General features: G+C 35.7%; 1 protein-coding gene across 18 annotated transcripts in view; it reads right to left on the bottom strand.

Moving 5' to 3' along the window:
* MLIP (muscular LMNA interacting protein) overlaps positions 1 to 17,712 on the bottom strand; it is a 247,311-nt gene that overhangs the window by 34,420 nt on the left and 195,179 nt on the right. For 15 of the 18 annotated variants that reach the window (XM_047419509.1, NM_138569.3, XM_024446579.2 and 12 more), the window contains one exon: positions 944 to 1,147. The exons of 2 other annotated variants lie outside the window; for them this stretch is intronic. In XM_047419509.1, the coding sequence (XP_047275465.1) occupies positions 944 to 1,147 (204 nt within the window). Of the gene's footprint in view, positions 1 to 943; positions 1,148 to 13,774; positions 16,722 to 17,712 lie in introns of those variants that run through there. One more of the 18 variants, NM_001281746.2, reaches the window with a different exon arrangement.

Below are 17,712 nucleotides of genomic sequence, written 5' to 3'. Positions count from 1 at the left end.
TTTTTTTCTTTAAAAATGCCTCAGGCTCCAAGAAGTATTATCCAACTACATTCTGGAAGATGATCTTGATTGATTTCTAAGTATAGAGATGTATTTAACTGGAGGTAGATACCTTGTAGAATAAATGCTTTTAAACAGGATTTTGAATTTCACAAAAAGATTTAATTAAAGTTTAACCAGTTAATTATTTTAGGAAATTTTCAGGGTCTGAGCATCTGTACTAGCCAGGATGCCCTTATCAGAAGAGCAAAGGGCACTTATATGTAAGCCCCATGTAGTTTAATTGCTTGTTCCTAGAAAACATTTATGATTCAATTCCAAAGCCAACTATAAATATTTTTTACTTGTTTTGTATCATACACACTCAGACAGACAGACACACGCACACACACGCACACACACACTTCAGGTACGAAACACTTCATTATTTTTTACACATCGCGTTACTATACACAGTGAAGCAGACAGGTACATTTTAAAGTAAAATGTGAATATTATTTTGCAGATACCCACAGTAATTCTAAGTCATTTTTTGCCCATTGACTCTAATTATAAGTGCCTCCTCAACCAGGCACTGTAATTTAAAGAAGCTTTTTAGGAACACTGAACTAAGACTAGAATATAAATTAATAATGGCATTTTGTGAGGTTTTGAAAAATGTCTTGGAATTTCCACCATGGAGTTAGAACATGAAACAGTGAAAAATACAAATCAGGGAATAACTTTGGAAAAATATATAAATGTTTATTATTTCCCAAGTTCAATTATTATCTGCTTATAAGGTAATGTGCTTTCACACAAATATTTAATATTCTTTATACATTTAGATATTTAATATTTAAATATTCCTAACACATGTTTCCTCCACATTTAAGTTTTAAAAGTCAAGCGTAATGAAGGTTCACAGAATAGAATAGTCCTCATTTTGGGGAGGAGTTCTCACCTTGTTGCATGCGTTGTGACTGAGGAGGGTGTGAGAATTCTCCTGTTCATCACTCAAGGAGAAGGACAGATGACTGAAGGGTCCTGGGGCAAGACAGTCAGCATGTGAGAGGGTCTGTGGATGCAGCAGTGACTTAGCAGGAGGATAGAGTTTAGTCTGATATAAAGGATGGAGCGAGACAGGCTTGGGAGGGACTGTTACATCCTGGTGGGGAAGAAGAAAGGCATAAGAGGATGTTAGCATAAAAAAGTCAAGCACGCTTGGAATTAGGTCTACGATAGACATAGGTCAGAATCTCTTACCAGTAAGAAGACAACCTCTCCTCATGAGATGGTGTCCCTCATGAGACAACTGCTTTCAGTGTATATTGTGTGTCTCTTTCAAAAATTCCTTTCATTCCCTGCCTCCAGCCTCTTCTGCAGAACAAAACAAGTGCCTGCAGAATGTCTCCTGAAGGGTACCAGGTTTATTTTTGAAAGTATTAAGGGGAGATATCTGTAAGGAAGAAGATAATCCATCCAAAAGAAGTGGGCTGGGGTTAGGAACATCTTCATGGAAGAGGTAGGTAGTCATGGAAATTAATTTAAAGATGCTTGTGATTTGGTCTGGAAGAAATCGGGAAGTCAAGGGGAGGGCATTGTGGAAAATATTAAAGTGAGTGGAGGGGCAGAAGTACAAGGTTTAGTTCATGACACAATAAGTTTCGGAGTTGAGTTTGTCATGGATAAGGAATCAGGGAAGGGTGGGTCTGGAAAGAATGAATAAGGTCTTCAATTCTAGGCAATGTGTTGTTTTGGAGAGAAACTGGTGGTGCAACAAATAGAGGAGTGCAACTGCAAAGAAAGGAGGTTACGAGGCCTTAACTAAAGTGGGTCTTCAACATGGAAAAACGATGAGTGGCTTTGAGGAAGTAGGAACTACTACATGAGGCCATGAATTATGTGAATGGAGCAAGGAAATCAAAACAGTAAGAAGTCTTGAGGCTACAAAGAAAAGTTGCAAAAAGGGCCTACATACAGGTATATGTCTTCTACAAATCAAGCAAATACAAATATGTATCTTACTTTACACACACAGCACATGCATACTTATTATTTTAAAAAGATAGCATCTAGTAAAGACATGGAATCAATACAAATGCCTATCAATGATAGATTAGATAAAGAAAATGTGGTACATATACACCATGGAATACTATGTGGCCATAAAAAGGAACAAGATCATGTTCTTTGCAGAGACATGGATGGAGCCGGAAGCCATTATCCTCAGCAAACTAATGCAGGAACAGTAAAACCAAACACCACATGTTCTCCCTTATAAGTGGGAGCTGAAAAATAAGAACACATGAACACATGGTGGGGGAACAACACATACTGGGGCTTGTCCAGGGTTGTGGGAAGAGGGAGAGCATCAGGAAGAATAGCTAATGGATGCTGGACCTAACACCTAGGTGTTGTGCTGACCCATGCAGCAAACCACTATGGCACACGTTTACCTATGTAATAAACCTAGACATCCTGCACATATACCCTGGAACTTAAAAGTTGAAGAAAAAATAAAAATTTAAATTTAAAATTTAAAAAGATAATATCCTCTTTACAATGTTCTGTGTCTTGTTTGATTTTTTTATTTGACAATTTTGGAATTTTTCTGTATCAGTACATGAAAGCTATTTATTTTCTACCAAGACACGTTACTGAATTATCGTACTGATTGTAATTGTCGTTCACTTGATTCTCTTAGAAGTTTTGGGTCAATCCAAAAAAATCAATTCACCTAACAGAGTGATAAATTTGTCTCCTCTTTGCCAGTTATGATACTTTTCATTTCTTCCATTTGTCTAATTTCATTGGTTAATGCCTCTAACATTGAATGAAAATGAAATGAAAGCCATGTCAGTGGGTAGCTTTAATGGAACATATGCAGTACTTGTCCATTAAAGATGATTCTGACTTATAATTTTGTTTTATTTCTAAATCAAACATTTCATTGTTTTAGCAAGTAATTACAAAAATTATTAATCAGTGTGAAAGTGATTAATATGACAACTGAGTAGCAAACACAAGACTAACTATGTGAGAAAAGGACAGTGTTGTTATTGATAGTTGAAGGTGCTTAGGTAAAGTGGTTTGAACAGTCTCTGGCTTATACTCAGGCTTCAGTTTTTTCTTGGAGGGTGTAAAAATCAATTCTCAGGTTGTCAGGGGGAAAGCCCATGGTGATCCATGGAAAGCAACGAATTCACCAAATGCGCTTATCTGGCGGAATCAAGTTCTATCCAATCAAGAGGAAAATGTTTGCAGAGAGTGTGCTACTCTGTGTTTTGTGCCTCTAAGTTCACTTTTGCCAATCTTCAGCTCTTAGGAGTCGGTCAAACCTGAATGTTTCTGTAGGATCAGGTGTTGTCCTCACTCTACCCAGGCAGCTGGGCAGGGAGGGAGAGCAGAATCTTATCAGCACTTGGACGAGCAAAAGAGAGTTAAGAACCTTGGCGAAGCTCACTTGAGTACTGTCAGTTGCTAATACAATACAAAGATGAAAGGATTCTTAGTGGTTACAGCTTCAATATTTATGTTTCAATCTGTGCTAATTGCCTTCTATGTTTGTATACATTATGATCCTGTGATTCTCTTTAGCATAATCCTGGATATTTAATTTGCCTCTCTCTCCTATGTTCGATCTCCTGTTTCTTTTTTCTTTCTCTTTTTTTTTTTTTTTTTTTTTTTTTTTTTTTTTTGAGACAGTCTCCCTCTGTCGCCCAGGCTGGAGAGCAGTGGCGCAATCTCGGCTCACTGCAAGCTCCGCCTCCGGGGTTCATGCCATTCTCCTGCCTCAGCCTCCCGAGTACCTGGGACTACAGGCGCCCACCACCACGCCCGGCTAATTTTTTGTATTTTTAGTAGAGACAGAGTTTCACCGTGTTAGCCAGAATGATCTCGATCTCCTGACCTCATGATCCGCTCGCCTCGGCCTCCCAAAGTGCTGGGATTGCAGGCGTGAGCCACTGCGCCCGGCCTGGATCTCCTATTTCTAATAGCCTGTGTCTTACATTTTTTTGGTTTTCTCTCATATTGACTGGACCCTAAAGGAGCTTCCTGGGAAAATGAAGTATATGGAAGCCAATTTCCAATAACCTGCATGTTGAAAACTGACTTTCTTCTACTCTTACGTTTGATTGTTTGAATATGAAATTCCAGGTTGGAAAATAATTTCTTTCAGAATTTTGAAAGTATTATTATACTGGATTATTTTATTGTCCAGTGTGGTTTAGAAGCCCAGCCATTTTGATTTCCGATGATTTGTAAATGACCCTTTTTGTTGTCCTCTCTCTCTGGAAGCACACAGGATTTCTTTTTGTCCTCAATAATCTGAAAATACCCCAGTATGCGCTTTGGCGTGGGTATATCTTCATCTACTTTTGTAGGAATTTGATGCTCTTTTATATGTAACATTTTGGAAAATTTTCATGAATTATTTTATCATTTCCTTCTCTTTTTCTTCTCTCTTCTCTTTCTGGATGTTGGACTTTTTTAGATAGTCCTCAAATTCTCATCTCATTTCCTTTTGCTCATCAGCTTGAGAGGTTTAGTTAATTTGTCCTCTGTATAAGTCTGTTCTCATACTGCTATAAAGAACTATCTGAGACTCAGTAATTTATAAAGGAAAGAGGTTTAATTGACTCACAGTTCCACAGGCTGTACAAGAAGCATGGGTGGGAGGTCTCAGGAAGCTTATAATTATGGCCGAAGGGAGGCAAGCACATCTTACCATGGCGGAGCAGGAGAGTGAAGGGGAATTGCTACACATATTAAACAACCTGATCTCATGAGAACTGTCTCACTGTCATGACAACAGCAAGAGGGAAATCTGCCCCCATGATCTAATCACCTCACACCAAGTCCCTCCCCCAACACTGGAGATTACAATTCAACAAGAGATTTGGGTGGGGACACAGGGCCAAACCGTATCATTCTCCAACTAAGGTGACCTAGCATAGAGAGGTTTCCCAGGAGTGGGAATTTTAGTGCTAAGACAAACTGCGATGAGTTAGTCACCCCACCTCCAACTTTTATATTGCATTCTTTGTTTCTGCAATCTTGTGTTTAATTTCCAAGAGGCCCTTTTATTTTCCAAGTATTCTTTTTATTTTTTTAGTATTCTGTTCCGATTTTATAGAGGCACTATCTTATCTATCTGTAAAAATATTGATGTTCTTGAGTTTTTTCTGTCTAAATAGTGTTTCCTCTGTTTTGTTTGTTTGTTTGTTTGTTTGTTTGTTTTATTTCCTGTTTGGTCATTTTTTTTTTGGTTTGGTTTTCTGCTCATATTTCATATTGGAGGTCTTCCTCGGGTATCTGGATATCTTTAATTATCTGCTAATATTTTAGAGTCAGGAATTAAGAGCACTTTGGAAACTCTGAGCACATGGATCAGGCTATTTGAGTTTCACTGTACAGGGTAACCCAGTCTCAATAACTTGAGAGCTTTCCTCTTTGTATTGGTCAGATTCCTCAAAAAAGACATTTTCAATCTCCTGGCTAGAAGGCAAAGGCCTGGCTACAAGTGTTCTGAGATGTGAATAGAAGAGACAGTGCGGGTCGGCATTAACCCCTTATAGCATCACTTAGTCCCCTGTTTTCAGAAGAGCTCCACTGCTCTCCACTATGCCAGGAGGCCCCAGGCCAGAAATCCTGTTTTCCTCTCTCCAGCATGTGAATTATTATCTTAAAATGGTAGTTAATCAGTCAAGAAGAAATATGAATTTGGGGATAGCTACTTCTTAAATAGCTTTTACCTTTTCTTCCTTTTTTCAGCTACCATTTCTTTACCTTCCTTTCAGAGGTATCAAGCACCTCCAAATCCTAAGCCTTCTGAGAACTCTAACATAGAAATGGAATCAGTACTTGGCTTTCTCCCTGGCCAGCCTAGGATTTAGCTTTCTTGGGTTGCTATGTCAGCTTTTCCTCATCAGGATATTTTTCTGCCTCTAAAATTTTATTGCTGTGTCTCCTCTTCTTACTTCCCATACTTGTAGACTATATCTTTACAGTACATCTTTACAATAATTTTAAGGAAATATTGGGAAGGAGCATATTTAGAGGCATTATTCAATCCACCATCCCTTACTGAAAGTCCTTAAGGGTTCTGTTTTGTTTATTTAATAAAGATGGCACTTAAAGTCTAAGGAGACAATTACATTCTTTTCCCCTTGCATTAAATCCCACTTGGTGAGGACACAGCACTCTTTAATGTTCTACTGAGTTCTGTTTCCTACTAAATTGAGATATCTGCATTGATATTTATAACTGAGTTTGAGCTGAAGTTTCCTTTTTGTGCAACTTCTGCTGGGTTTTATAACAATGTTACACTTGCTACAGAAAATTATTTAGAAGATATGCTTGCATTACTATAGTCTACAACTCTCTGTTATTAGAGTTGTCATCATGAACTGCATAATGACATTTCAGCCAACAACGAACTGCATATATAATGGTGGTCCCATTTTTACTGAATCTTTTCAATGTTTAGATATGCTTAGATTCACAAATACTTACCACTGTGTGACAGTTGCCTACAGTATTCAGTACAATACTGTGCTGTACAGGTTTGTAGCCTAGGAGCAATAGGCTATACTATACCCTATAGCTTAGGTGTGTAGTAGGCTATACCATCTAGGCTTGTGTAAGGTAAAATATATGAGGCTTGCGCAAAAAAGAATTCCCCTAACTAGTACAGTTGCTATGGAAAACAGCGTGGAGATTCCTTAAAGAACTAAAAGTAGAACTCCCATTTGATCCAGCAATCCCACTACTGGGTATCTACCCAGAGGAAAAGAAGTCATTATTCAAAAAAGATGCTTGCACACACGTTTATAGCAGCACAATTCACAATTGCAAAATCATGGAACCAACCCAAATGCCCATCAATCAATGACTGGATAAAGAAACTGTGGTATATATACACTATAGACAACGAAATACTACTCAGCCATAAAAAGGAGTGAATTAACAGCATTTGCAGTGACCTGGATGAGACTGGAGACTATTATTCTAAGTGAAGTAACTCAGTGATGGAAAATCAAACATCGTATGTTCTCAGTGATATGTGGGAGCTAAGCTATGAGGATGCAAAGGCCTAAGAATGATACAATGAACTTTGGGGACTTGGGGGGAAGAGTGCAAGGGGGTCGAGGGATAAAAGACAACATATAATGGTGCAGTATATACTGCTCGGGGGATGGGAGAACCAGGGTCTCACAAATCACCACTAAAGAACTTACTCATGTAACCAAATACCACCTATACCCCAATAACTTATGTAAAAATAAAATAATAATAATAATAAAAGAATTCCCCTAAGGATGGATTTCTCAGAATGTATTTCCATCGTTAAGCAACACATAACTGAATTTGTTCCTTAAAAGATTGTTCGAATTTCCCTGGGAATCTATTTGTGACTTGGAGCTTTTTGAGGGTAACTTTTCATTTTTTTTTTCAGTTTTTCTTTTGGTAATTGGTTTACTGGAGTTTTATTTTTATATTTTTCTAGGTATTTTTGCTATAAAGTATTTATTTCCTGTGGATTTCCTAATTCACTTGCATAAGGGTGAGAGAAGCAGTGTCGTATTTTGTGTCCTCTATATTGTTAGTTATTTTCATGTTTATTTCTCATTTTGTATTTTATATTTTCTCCCTTTTTATTGATCTGTTTAACTAACAGTTTGCTATTTTGCACTTTTTTCAAAGAATACGTGCTATTATGAGTTTTACAACTGTTCTGCTTTCTAGCTATTTATCGTTTTCTAATGCTATAAAGTCCTTTTCATTTATTTTCTTATGCAAAGAATAAGGATTTTCTCCTTAAATAATGTTTCCTCTAAATATTTGTTTTATTTTTGTTTTTAAATTTTCCAAATTGAATGCTTACTTGGTTGACCTTTATTACTCTTCTTATTCATTTAGCATTTTTACATTATAAATTTCCTTTCAAGGACTATTTTAACTATATCTTATCAGTTCTAATAGACAATAATTTGAAAAATAATGATTTCATTAGCTTACTTTTCCAGATAGAAATTTTATTTTCTATTTTTTCGAGTTAGATCTTCTTTTTACTTTTTAAAAGGCTTAGTTTTAATATAATTACAAAGTAATATAAGCTTATTATAGAAAGATCAGAAGTCGTATGCAAGCCAGAAAGACAATATTAAAAATACTCTCAGTGAATCCAAAGAAATTTTTCAAACACCCTTTTTTGAAGGTATCACATTTTGTGATTTCAAAGTGTATTACAAAGCCATAGTAATCAAAACAGTATGGCACTGTCATAAAAGCAGACTATAGCCAGTGGAACAAAAATAAATCTACCCATTATGGTTGGACAACTAATCTTTGACAAGGTGAAAGGATAGTCTCCTCAATAAATGGTGTGGTGAAAACTGTATGTCCTCATGCAGAAGAATGAAACTGGATCCTTATTTCACACAATATACAAAAATCAACTCAAAATGGATTAAACACATAAACATAAGATTCAAAACTGTATAACTACTAGAAGCAAACAAGAAAAAAAGCTTCTGCTTGACATTGTTGTGGGTATTTTGTTTGTTTGTTTGTTTGTTGATACGACAGCAAAAGAACAGACACCAAAAGCAAAAATAGATAAGTGGGATTGCAACAAACTTAAAAAAATCTCTACAGCAAAGGGAACATTCAACAGTGTGAAAAGGCAACCTACAGTATATAGGAAGAAAATATTTGCAAACTGTCTATATAAAAGCTTAACATCCAAAATATATGTATTTGAAAAAAACCTCATACAACTCAATACCAAAAAAGCACAAATAACTCAATTAAAAAATGGGCAAGGGACCTGAACAGATATTTTTCAAAAGAAGATATGGCCAATGAGCATATGAAAAGACCAACAGGTATATGAAAGGGTGCTCAACATCACTAGTCATCAGGGAAATGCAAATCAAAACCACCATGAGCTATCATATCACACCTGTTGGAATGAGTATTAGCAATAGGAATGAGTGTTGGTCAGAATGTGGAAAAAAGAGAACACTTGTACACTGTTGGTGGGAATGTTAATTGGTAAGTCAGTAAGGAAAACAGTATGAAGTTTCCCCCCAAAATTTAAAATATGGCTACCATAAAAATGCATCGATCCCACTTCTGGGTATATCATCAAAGGAAATTAAATCAGTGTCTTGAAGAGATATCTGTACTTTCATGTACACTGCAGAACTATAGCCAAGAAATGGGAATAAACTAGATGTGTATTGACAGGTAAGTGGATAAAGGAAAGGTGGTATAATACATAAATACATATAATGGAATATTAATCAGCCTTAAACAACAAGGAAATCCTGCCATCTGTGACAATATAAATTAACCTGGAGGACATTATGTTAAGTGAAATAAACCAGACACAGAAAGACAAATAGTGCATTACGTAACTTAAATGTGAAATCCAAAATAGTCAAACTCATAGAAGGCAGAGAGTAGAATAGTGATTACCAGGGGCAGAGGGGAGGGGAAAATGGGTCACTGTTAATCAAAAGGTACAAAGTTTCAGTTACCAAAGATGAATAACTTCTGGAGATCTAATGAATGGCAATATTAATATAACTAACAATAGTGTACTGTATACTCTGTAGGCTTGATTGCTAAGAGGGCAGATCCTAAATATTCTTACCACAACAATAATAGTATAATAATGTTAATTGCATGAGGTGATAAATATGCTAGCTTGATTGTGGTGATCACTTCACAATACATACATGTATCAAAACGTCAAGTTTTTTACCTAAAATATATACAATTTTTAATTGTCAATTATACCTCAATAAAGTTAGAGAATAAAAAAAGTAAAACACAGAAATTTTATTCTGAATTTCCTCTTTGATAAAGTTTCATGAAAAAGCAAAATTTTCAATTTACAAATGTCAGGAACTTTTTGTTTTCTAACTTTGTTATTAATTTATAAATTTTTTGTGATCAGATAAATTTGTGTATATTGTTTCCATCTTGGCAATTAATAGGTTTTCTTTTTTAGCTTAATGTATAGTCAGTTTTTATGAGAGTTCCACAGATATTAAAAAGAGTAATATTTTGTTTTGTTTGCAGGATAGAGTCTGAATATATATAAATTAGATTTACTCGAGATGATCTACTTTTGCCTATTTTTATTTGATCTATGATAAACTGAACAAACAAGTTAACAAAATATTTTACCAATAATATATTTTCACTTTTTCCAGATCTTATCTCCTGCTTTTGCCTTATGAAGATAGAGGTTATATTTTGGTTTTTCATATTCTAATGACTGTATTTTCCTTGTAAATGCCATCTTTTAGCATTATAAGGGGGTCTTATGTGTCTTGCTTAAGGAACTTTTAGCCTGAATTCAACCTGCCCATTTTGCAGATTATGATCTCTCCTTTTTTTTAATTTGTGGTAGGTACCTGGAATACTCTGTCACTTTTCAACTGTTCACTACACTTTGTTTTAAAAGTCTCAAGTTAAATATTAATTTTGTTTGTTATTCACTCTGGAGTTCTTTTTTTCCTTTTGTATTTTATTTATTTCCATAGCAAATGGATTTCCTGGACGAGATGTTTTTCCAACAGGTTCATACAGGGAAAGGACCACTACCTGGGATTATCTTTGTGCCCAGGGTTTGGGGTATGAGTTGGTTTAGCCTCTACTTCTAAAATAATGAAGACTATCATCAGCTACACAGCAATTTCCATGGCAACTTGTCTGTGCCCAGGCTGCCACAGAGAGATAGAGCATTATATCAGGAACCCCACTTGCATTTCTCAAAAACGAGCATTTCTAATGCGTCTTGAAGTTTGTTACTTTTTAAAATAATTTGCCATGAGATAACTTGAGAAACTCCGAATGATCCCAAAGATTTTCATAATCCTTCTCATGAACAGAGTTTTATTATTGTAAAGAATCCTCTACGTGTGTGTGTGTGTGTGTATATCTCCTTTGTCGTTATAGGTTACCTATAAATGTTGATGTAACTGCAACCTCATAGTACAATCATTAATGTAGCCCACTGCTATTATGCCTCCAGAATTTTCTCATAAAACAGTGTTTTTATTAAAGAAGTCACTTACTTTAGAGAACAAATTTTTTATTATTTGTTTTTCCCTTAAGAATCCAAAATGTCACTTTCTGTGTATTTCATATATTTCAAATGTCACTTTCTGTATATTTCATATTTAGAAAACAAATGTTATAAACTGAGAATATTTTAAAATCTATACTTTGATCCAACTGCATAATAAAACTCCCATATTGGGAGTAATTGGCTCATTACTCACTTTTTCAGATCTTCAAAGGTGTTTTCTATGCATTTTCTAATGGCATTTAATTACAAAGGAATAAATTTCAGTTCATCATTCTATTGTTATTATTCTGCAATAAATACTTCAGCAGGAAGAACACACGTATCCCCAGCTGAATTGGGTTTTTCATTTTTTCCCTGTTAAGATTCTTCAAAAGAGAATTTTATCATTTGCTTCAGTAAAACTTTACACATTATAATATTGAGTACCTTGTGTCTTTAAACAGTACTGAAAATTGCACAGCTTCATGACCTTGGATGCCGGTTTTGTTAATGTCTTATCAAGTATGATGCCATAATGCAATTATTAGTTAAAACTCAAGGCAAAAATATAAACTTAAGGACAGGTATATTCATAATAAAAGCAGATATAAAACTATATTTTAAATTGTTTTAATCATTTCAAAAAATAACCTACTTCTTATCAAATTCAAGTAGATTTTCAGGGTTTGAAATGGATACGTATGTCTGATGACAAGCTTATGTTAGACATAGATATGGTGTCACCTCTGCTATTTCTTGTTGCTTATGCTTGTATCAGCAGTGGTATAGTCAATCTAGATTATTTTGCCGAAGGTTTTTTTTAATAAAGTCATTTGCTTATTTTAAGATGGCTATTTTCGTTAAAAATAGTTAAAAATGATAAATCGTATGTCTAGCTAACTGGGCACATATAGTGCAATAAGATACAACAGGCTTAAGGAATGGCCAACTGAGGGCTCACTGTCCATCACCCCAAGTTAGAAAGGCCTGACACTTTTCCAAGGAATCTCATTTAGAATATATATGAGTTGTAACTATCTAGCATTCAGACCTACAAAGGAGACCCATGTAAACCCATATAAATCAGCAAAGCTTAGAATCTTTGTTGTTATTTTATGTTAGAAGTTGGCAAACATTTTCCTGTAAAGTTCCCATCAGTAAATATTGAAGGCTTTGCAAACCATAAATCTGTCACAATTACTCAATCCTAACATAGTAACATAAAAGCAGCCTTAAACAATAGATACATACAGTCATGCACTGCATAACGATGTTTTGGTAAGCAGACCATATATGTATTGGTGGTCCCATAGATTAACATGGAGCCGAAAAATTCCTATTGCAGAGTGATGTCTTGTGATCCTGACCCTGCCTAGGCTAACTTGTGTACTTGTGTCTGAGAAAAAAAAAAAAAAAAAAGTTTAAAATGTAAAAAAAAAAAAGAAAAAAAATCCAGAAAATTTTAAAATAGAGAAAAAGCTTATAGATTAAAGATATAAATAAAAAATATTTTTGTACAGCTGCATAATGTGTTTGTATCTTTTTATTTTTATTTTTATTTTTATTTTTTATTTTTATTTTTTTTGAGACGGAGTCTCGCTCTGTCCCCAGGCTGGAGTACAGTGGCATGATCTCGGCTCACTACAAGCTCCACCTCCCAGGTTCACACCATTCTCCTGCCTCAGCCTCCCGAGTAGCTGGGACTACAGGCGCCCGCCACCATGCCCGGCTAATTTTTTTTTGTACTTTTAGTAGAGACAGGGTTTCACCATGTTAGCCAGGATGGTCTTCATCTCCTGACCTCATGATCCGCCTGCTTCAGCCTCCCAAAGTGCTGGGATTACAGGTGTGAGCCACTGCACCTGGCCTGTGTTTGCATTTTGTTTATTATAAGAGTCAAAAAGTTTAAAAACTTCAAGTTTATTAAGTAAAAAATTACAGTAAGCTGAGGTTATTATTGAAAAAAGAAAATGTGGCCAGTTGTGGTGGCTCACACCTGTAATCCCAGTACTTTGGGAGGCTGAGGTGGGCAGATCACCTGAGGTCAGGACTTCAACACCAGCCTTGCTAACATGGCAAAATCCCATCTCTACTAAAAATACAAAAAACTATGTATGATGGCGTGCACCTGTAGTCCCAGCTACCGGGAGGCTGACACAGGAGAATCGCTTGAACCCAGAAGATGAAGGCTGCAGTGAGCCGAGATCGCACCACTGCCTTCCAACCTGGGCAACAGAGCAAGACTCCATCTCAAAAAAATATTAATAAATTTAGTGTAGTCTAAGTGTTCCTAAAGTCTACAATAATGTACAAGTAATGTCCTAGGCCTTCACATATACTCACCACTCACTCACTGATTCACCCAGAGCAACCTCCATTCATGGTAAGTGCACTATACAGGTGTTCCTTCTTTTATTTTTTATATTGTATTTTCACAGTACCCTGTCTATGATCAGATATGTTTAGATACACAAATACTTACCATTGTGTTACAATTGCTTCCAGTATTCAGTACAGTAATATGCTGTACAGGTTTGTAGCCCAGCAGTAATAGCCTATACCACATACCCTAGGTGTAATGGGCTACACTGTCTGGATTTGTGTAATTCCCTCTGATGTTCACACAATGACAAAATCACCTAATGATGCATTTCTCAAAACATATCCCATTCTTAAGTGACACATAACTGAAATAGGCAAGGCCATGTTCCAATAATACTTTATTTATAAAAACACTGGTGAGCCAGGTTTGGCCCACAGACCATAGTTTGTGACCCCTGTTTGAGATTTGCTTCAAAACACACTAATGGCATCTCTATCACGTCTAACTTGTGCCCTACTTCCACCCCAGCGAATTATCTTGAGGTTGGTACCTAATACTTTAGAGATCACTATTCTAAATGATTCTTGAAAATGAACATCACTCTATCCTGCTTTAGCATGCAATATATGAATCTTTTAATGTTTTAGTTTTTGAGGGATGTACAGGGATCATAAAACAGTCTTGGACATGTTTCTATCAATGAGATAGGTAACATAGTTATTTCTGATAAAATGCTTTAAACCGCTTTTTAGTCACTTGAGAATTGTCCTCTTTCAATTTCAGTATACATAGAACTAATGTTTCAAAAAAAGGCTTTACTGAGGAGCTTGATTTTTGAAAAGAATTAATTATTTTTGAGATGATACTATCATTCTACAAAACTTCAAGAAGACAGGAACTTATGAAGCAAGTAATATCTTTGTTCATTAAAGAAAAATTAGCAGACAAATATGCAGTGAATATATTAATTTAGCTCTGCTTAACTGACAGACACATCAGAAAATTAGTGTTATAGCCATATCTGATGCATTTGGTGCTCTAGAAAAAGCCTACTTTCTACTCAACCATCAAATCATACTGTTTAACTTCAAAAACTGTTTCCATTGCAACATCAAAGGGCATTTTACGGCATTTTGAGCTCTTCTTATTAAAGCCTGCACATCTGAAATGCTTTTGTTCCATCCTGGCATTTTAAAGTCACTTCCTTTCCTGTGGTTTGGAAGTGAAGGGTGAAAATTCACTTCCTCTTCACTCATGCTGTCCCCTCTTCACGCTGCGGTTTTCTGTCTGAGTACAAGACACCTTTGTGAACTCAGAGTACCATAGGTAAAATTACTGGAGCCTTTCACTCCATCCTGTCTTCCATCTTCCCACCTCTTTGGTAAAGCAACATTTATTTTTAAATGCAGCATTTATTTTCAGCTTTCCTTTGCTGTCTAGAACTTACAGCAGTTTAAAATCAGAGCCATAGCATTTTTGCTACAGTTTTAATTTAAATCAACACCTTGCTAATAAAATCATGAACAGTAGTAATATTTTCTTAAAGAGCGACCCCTTTATCTAAAGACACCAACACTTTACAGACAGCATCACAAAAACCTCATGTTACTATGAAATAAGAGATTGTGATTATCTACATTTCACTAAGATAAAGCCAATATAAATTGGTTTCGATTATATGGCATATCTTCTTGCTTAGAAACCCAAATTTTGGAGAATCCATATGCATTTTTTCAAACAGACATATTTAAAGCAACACATATATTTTGAATCCTGATTTGAACCAAGAAAATTTGAACTTGTGAAGTATGAAAAATTTAGCATATGCTTAGCTATTTGAAATCCTCTATATAAAAAAAGATTTTTAATAATCACAACATAATTTTTAAGATAGAATTTGGATAACTTAGTGCTTAAAGTGTATGGTTGTCTGACAGCAAGTTTCACAGAACAGATGGCATGGATCAGCATGGAAGTATCTGATGGAGGTACACTCAAGGGAAAAGAAAGAAAAACACTCCATAATCAATCACAGTGAGCAGCAGAGGACTACAATGCTGAGTTTTATGTTTTTCTATACATATAGTTGGATTCTGGTCTTTTATTTCCCATGTGGAGGTGTTTAGGATGGAGGAGCAGTTAAAATTGAAGAAGTCAAAAGTAACATAGAAAATAGGCTTCTACAATTGCTCATAATGGAAGAGAGAAAGAAGACAATATATTCAGTTGACCCTTTAGCAGGAAATCAACCTCTTTCTTCCAAAATTGAAGTGATTCTAAAGGAAATGATAACAAGAAACATTTAAGTCTTTAGAGCCCTTTGATAGTGAGTATTTCATTCAACCATTGCAGTATCATTCTTAACAATTAGATATGGCAACAACCGAAGTGTCTGTTGATGGATAAATGAATAAATAAAACGTGTTAAACAATGAAATATTATTCAGCCTTAAAAAAGAAAGAAATCCTGCCATTTCCAATAACATGAATGAATTCCAAATATATTATGCCAAGTGAAATGAGCCAGTCACAAAAGGACAAATATTGCGTGATCTCACTTTAGTGGAATCTAAAATAGTCAGAATTACAGAAGCAAAGAGTAGAATGATGGTTGCCAGGGGTTGGAATGGACTTTTGGTTGAAATGGATGTTTTGTTGTTTTGAATCTATTATTGTCTTAATAAGGGATTTAAGTGAAAAGGAAAAATGGTGTTTAAAGGGTAGAAACATTCAGTTATCAAAGGAATAAGTTCTGGAGAGCTAATGTATAGCATGGTGACTACAGTTAATAATATTTTACTTTTTACTTGAAATTTGCTGAGAATAGATTTTATGTGTCCTCATCTCTTCTCCCATATACACACACAGAGTAACTAGTACATTAATAGTTACATTGATTAATTTAACTGTGGTAATCATTATACAATGTACACATACATCAAATCATCACATTTTACACCTTAAATAGGTATAATTTTTGTCAATTATACTGCAATAAAGATGAAAGCACTTGGAAAAAATTTAAAGAAATTATACTTTTAAAAAAATCACAAATACTTATTAGTATGGGTTCCATTAGAAATGGTGATTAGTAGCCCCATTTTTGTAGGATAAAATTGAAGTTCAGTAAGGACTGATTTTTTCAAAAATCACAAGAGCCCATGTTCTTGCCATTGAATTCTATCATCGTCTTTTTCTCTTTTTCAGGAAGTAGGAAAGTCAAAGGCTACAGTAACTAGCCACAAGGATAGGGTTCCTCAATGATCAGAGGAGCCAAGGACCAGACGTGTCACTTCCGTTGCAGTAGGAGTCCACAGAATGTGCAGCCTGAGTGTAAAGTGGACAGCTTTTAGTGAGGAAGTACACAGCGTGTAGAAAAGGTTACAAATAGGAGCAAAAAGGCAGAGACCAGGGTCCAGAATATTGAGAACTTACTAGAATCTAAGCTACATGAGGGAGGGATATCGTCTCCTTTATTTCCTGGGGAATCACCCAGGCCTATTGCAGAGCCTGGCACAAACGTTAAATGCCTGAATATTAAGTGTAGAGGAAAGGGGGATAAGTAGACAGAGAAGTAGCAACACCATTCAGCATAAAACCACAGCACTCACTACTCAGCATTGCGGAGACCACATGCTCATAAATGTTTTCTAGTTTTGTCTTTCTCATAGTCCTGTGTTCTGTGTTCCTTCTGTCAACCCAGGTAGCTAAAGATTAATTCCATCCTCATGTTTCTGGATTAAAATGTTAAAGCAGAATTGCAAAAAGGAAAAAGTAGAGTTTGGGTTTCAAAATAGATTTTGGAAACTCATGGCAGAGTTAATACTTTGACAGAGAAAAAACTGGGTTTCAAAAGCCTAGGAGCTAGGACATCAAACCTCTGGAAAAGAACATAATTAATCAGAGTAAGAATGTGTGAACTGTGCTGGGACTGAGAGCAGGATGGAGGGAACAGAGGAAAACAACAAGAACAGAAGTCTCAATAGGACTAGGCAAGGTCCCCATGACCACTGTCAGCACTGAGCTGACTCCCAGGGTGAAAGTAGTGGTGGTGAAGATAATCCCTGATAAATCTGGGGAATAAGAGATTAGAGAGAATTTTTCCAGCGATTGCCAAGTAAATCTAGAATAAATGGACCAATTCACAAGTTCCCCTGTGGCTAGTCTGGTATGGAAATCATAGACTAGAAATGGCTGTTGGGTGTGTCTTGGCAGAAAGCCTTTTACAAAAAGAGGGAGGGGATTCTGACAGATGTCATTTTGAGACATCTCAAAAGAGATTTTCAAAAACTAGCTGGATTTTAAAACTGCAAGAGAT

Source organism: Homo sapiens, chromosome 6, assembly GCF_000001405.40.
Source record: "Homo sapiens chromosome 6, GRCh38.p14 Primary Assembly".
Classification (NCBI taxonomy): Eukaryota; Metazoa; Chordata; class Mammalia; order Primates; family Hominidae; genus Homo; species Homo sapiens.
Note: the sequence above shows the minus strand (reverse complement) of the source record. Positions and strands in the feature narration are given on the sequence as shown.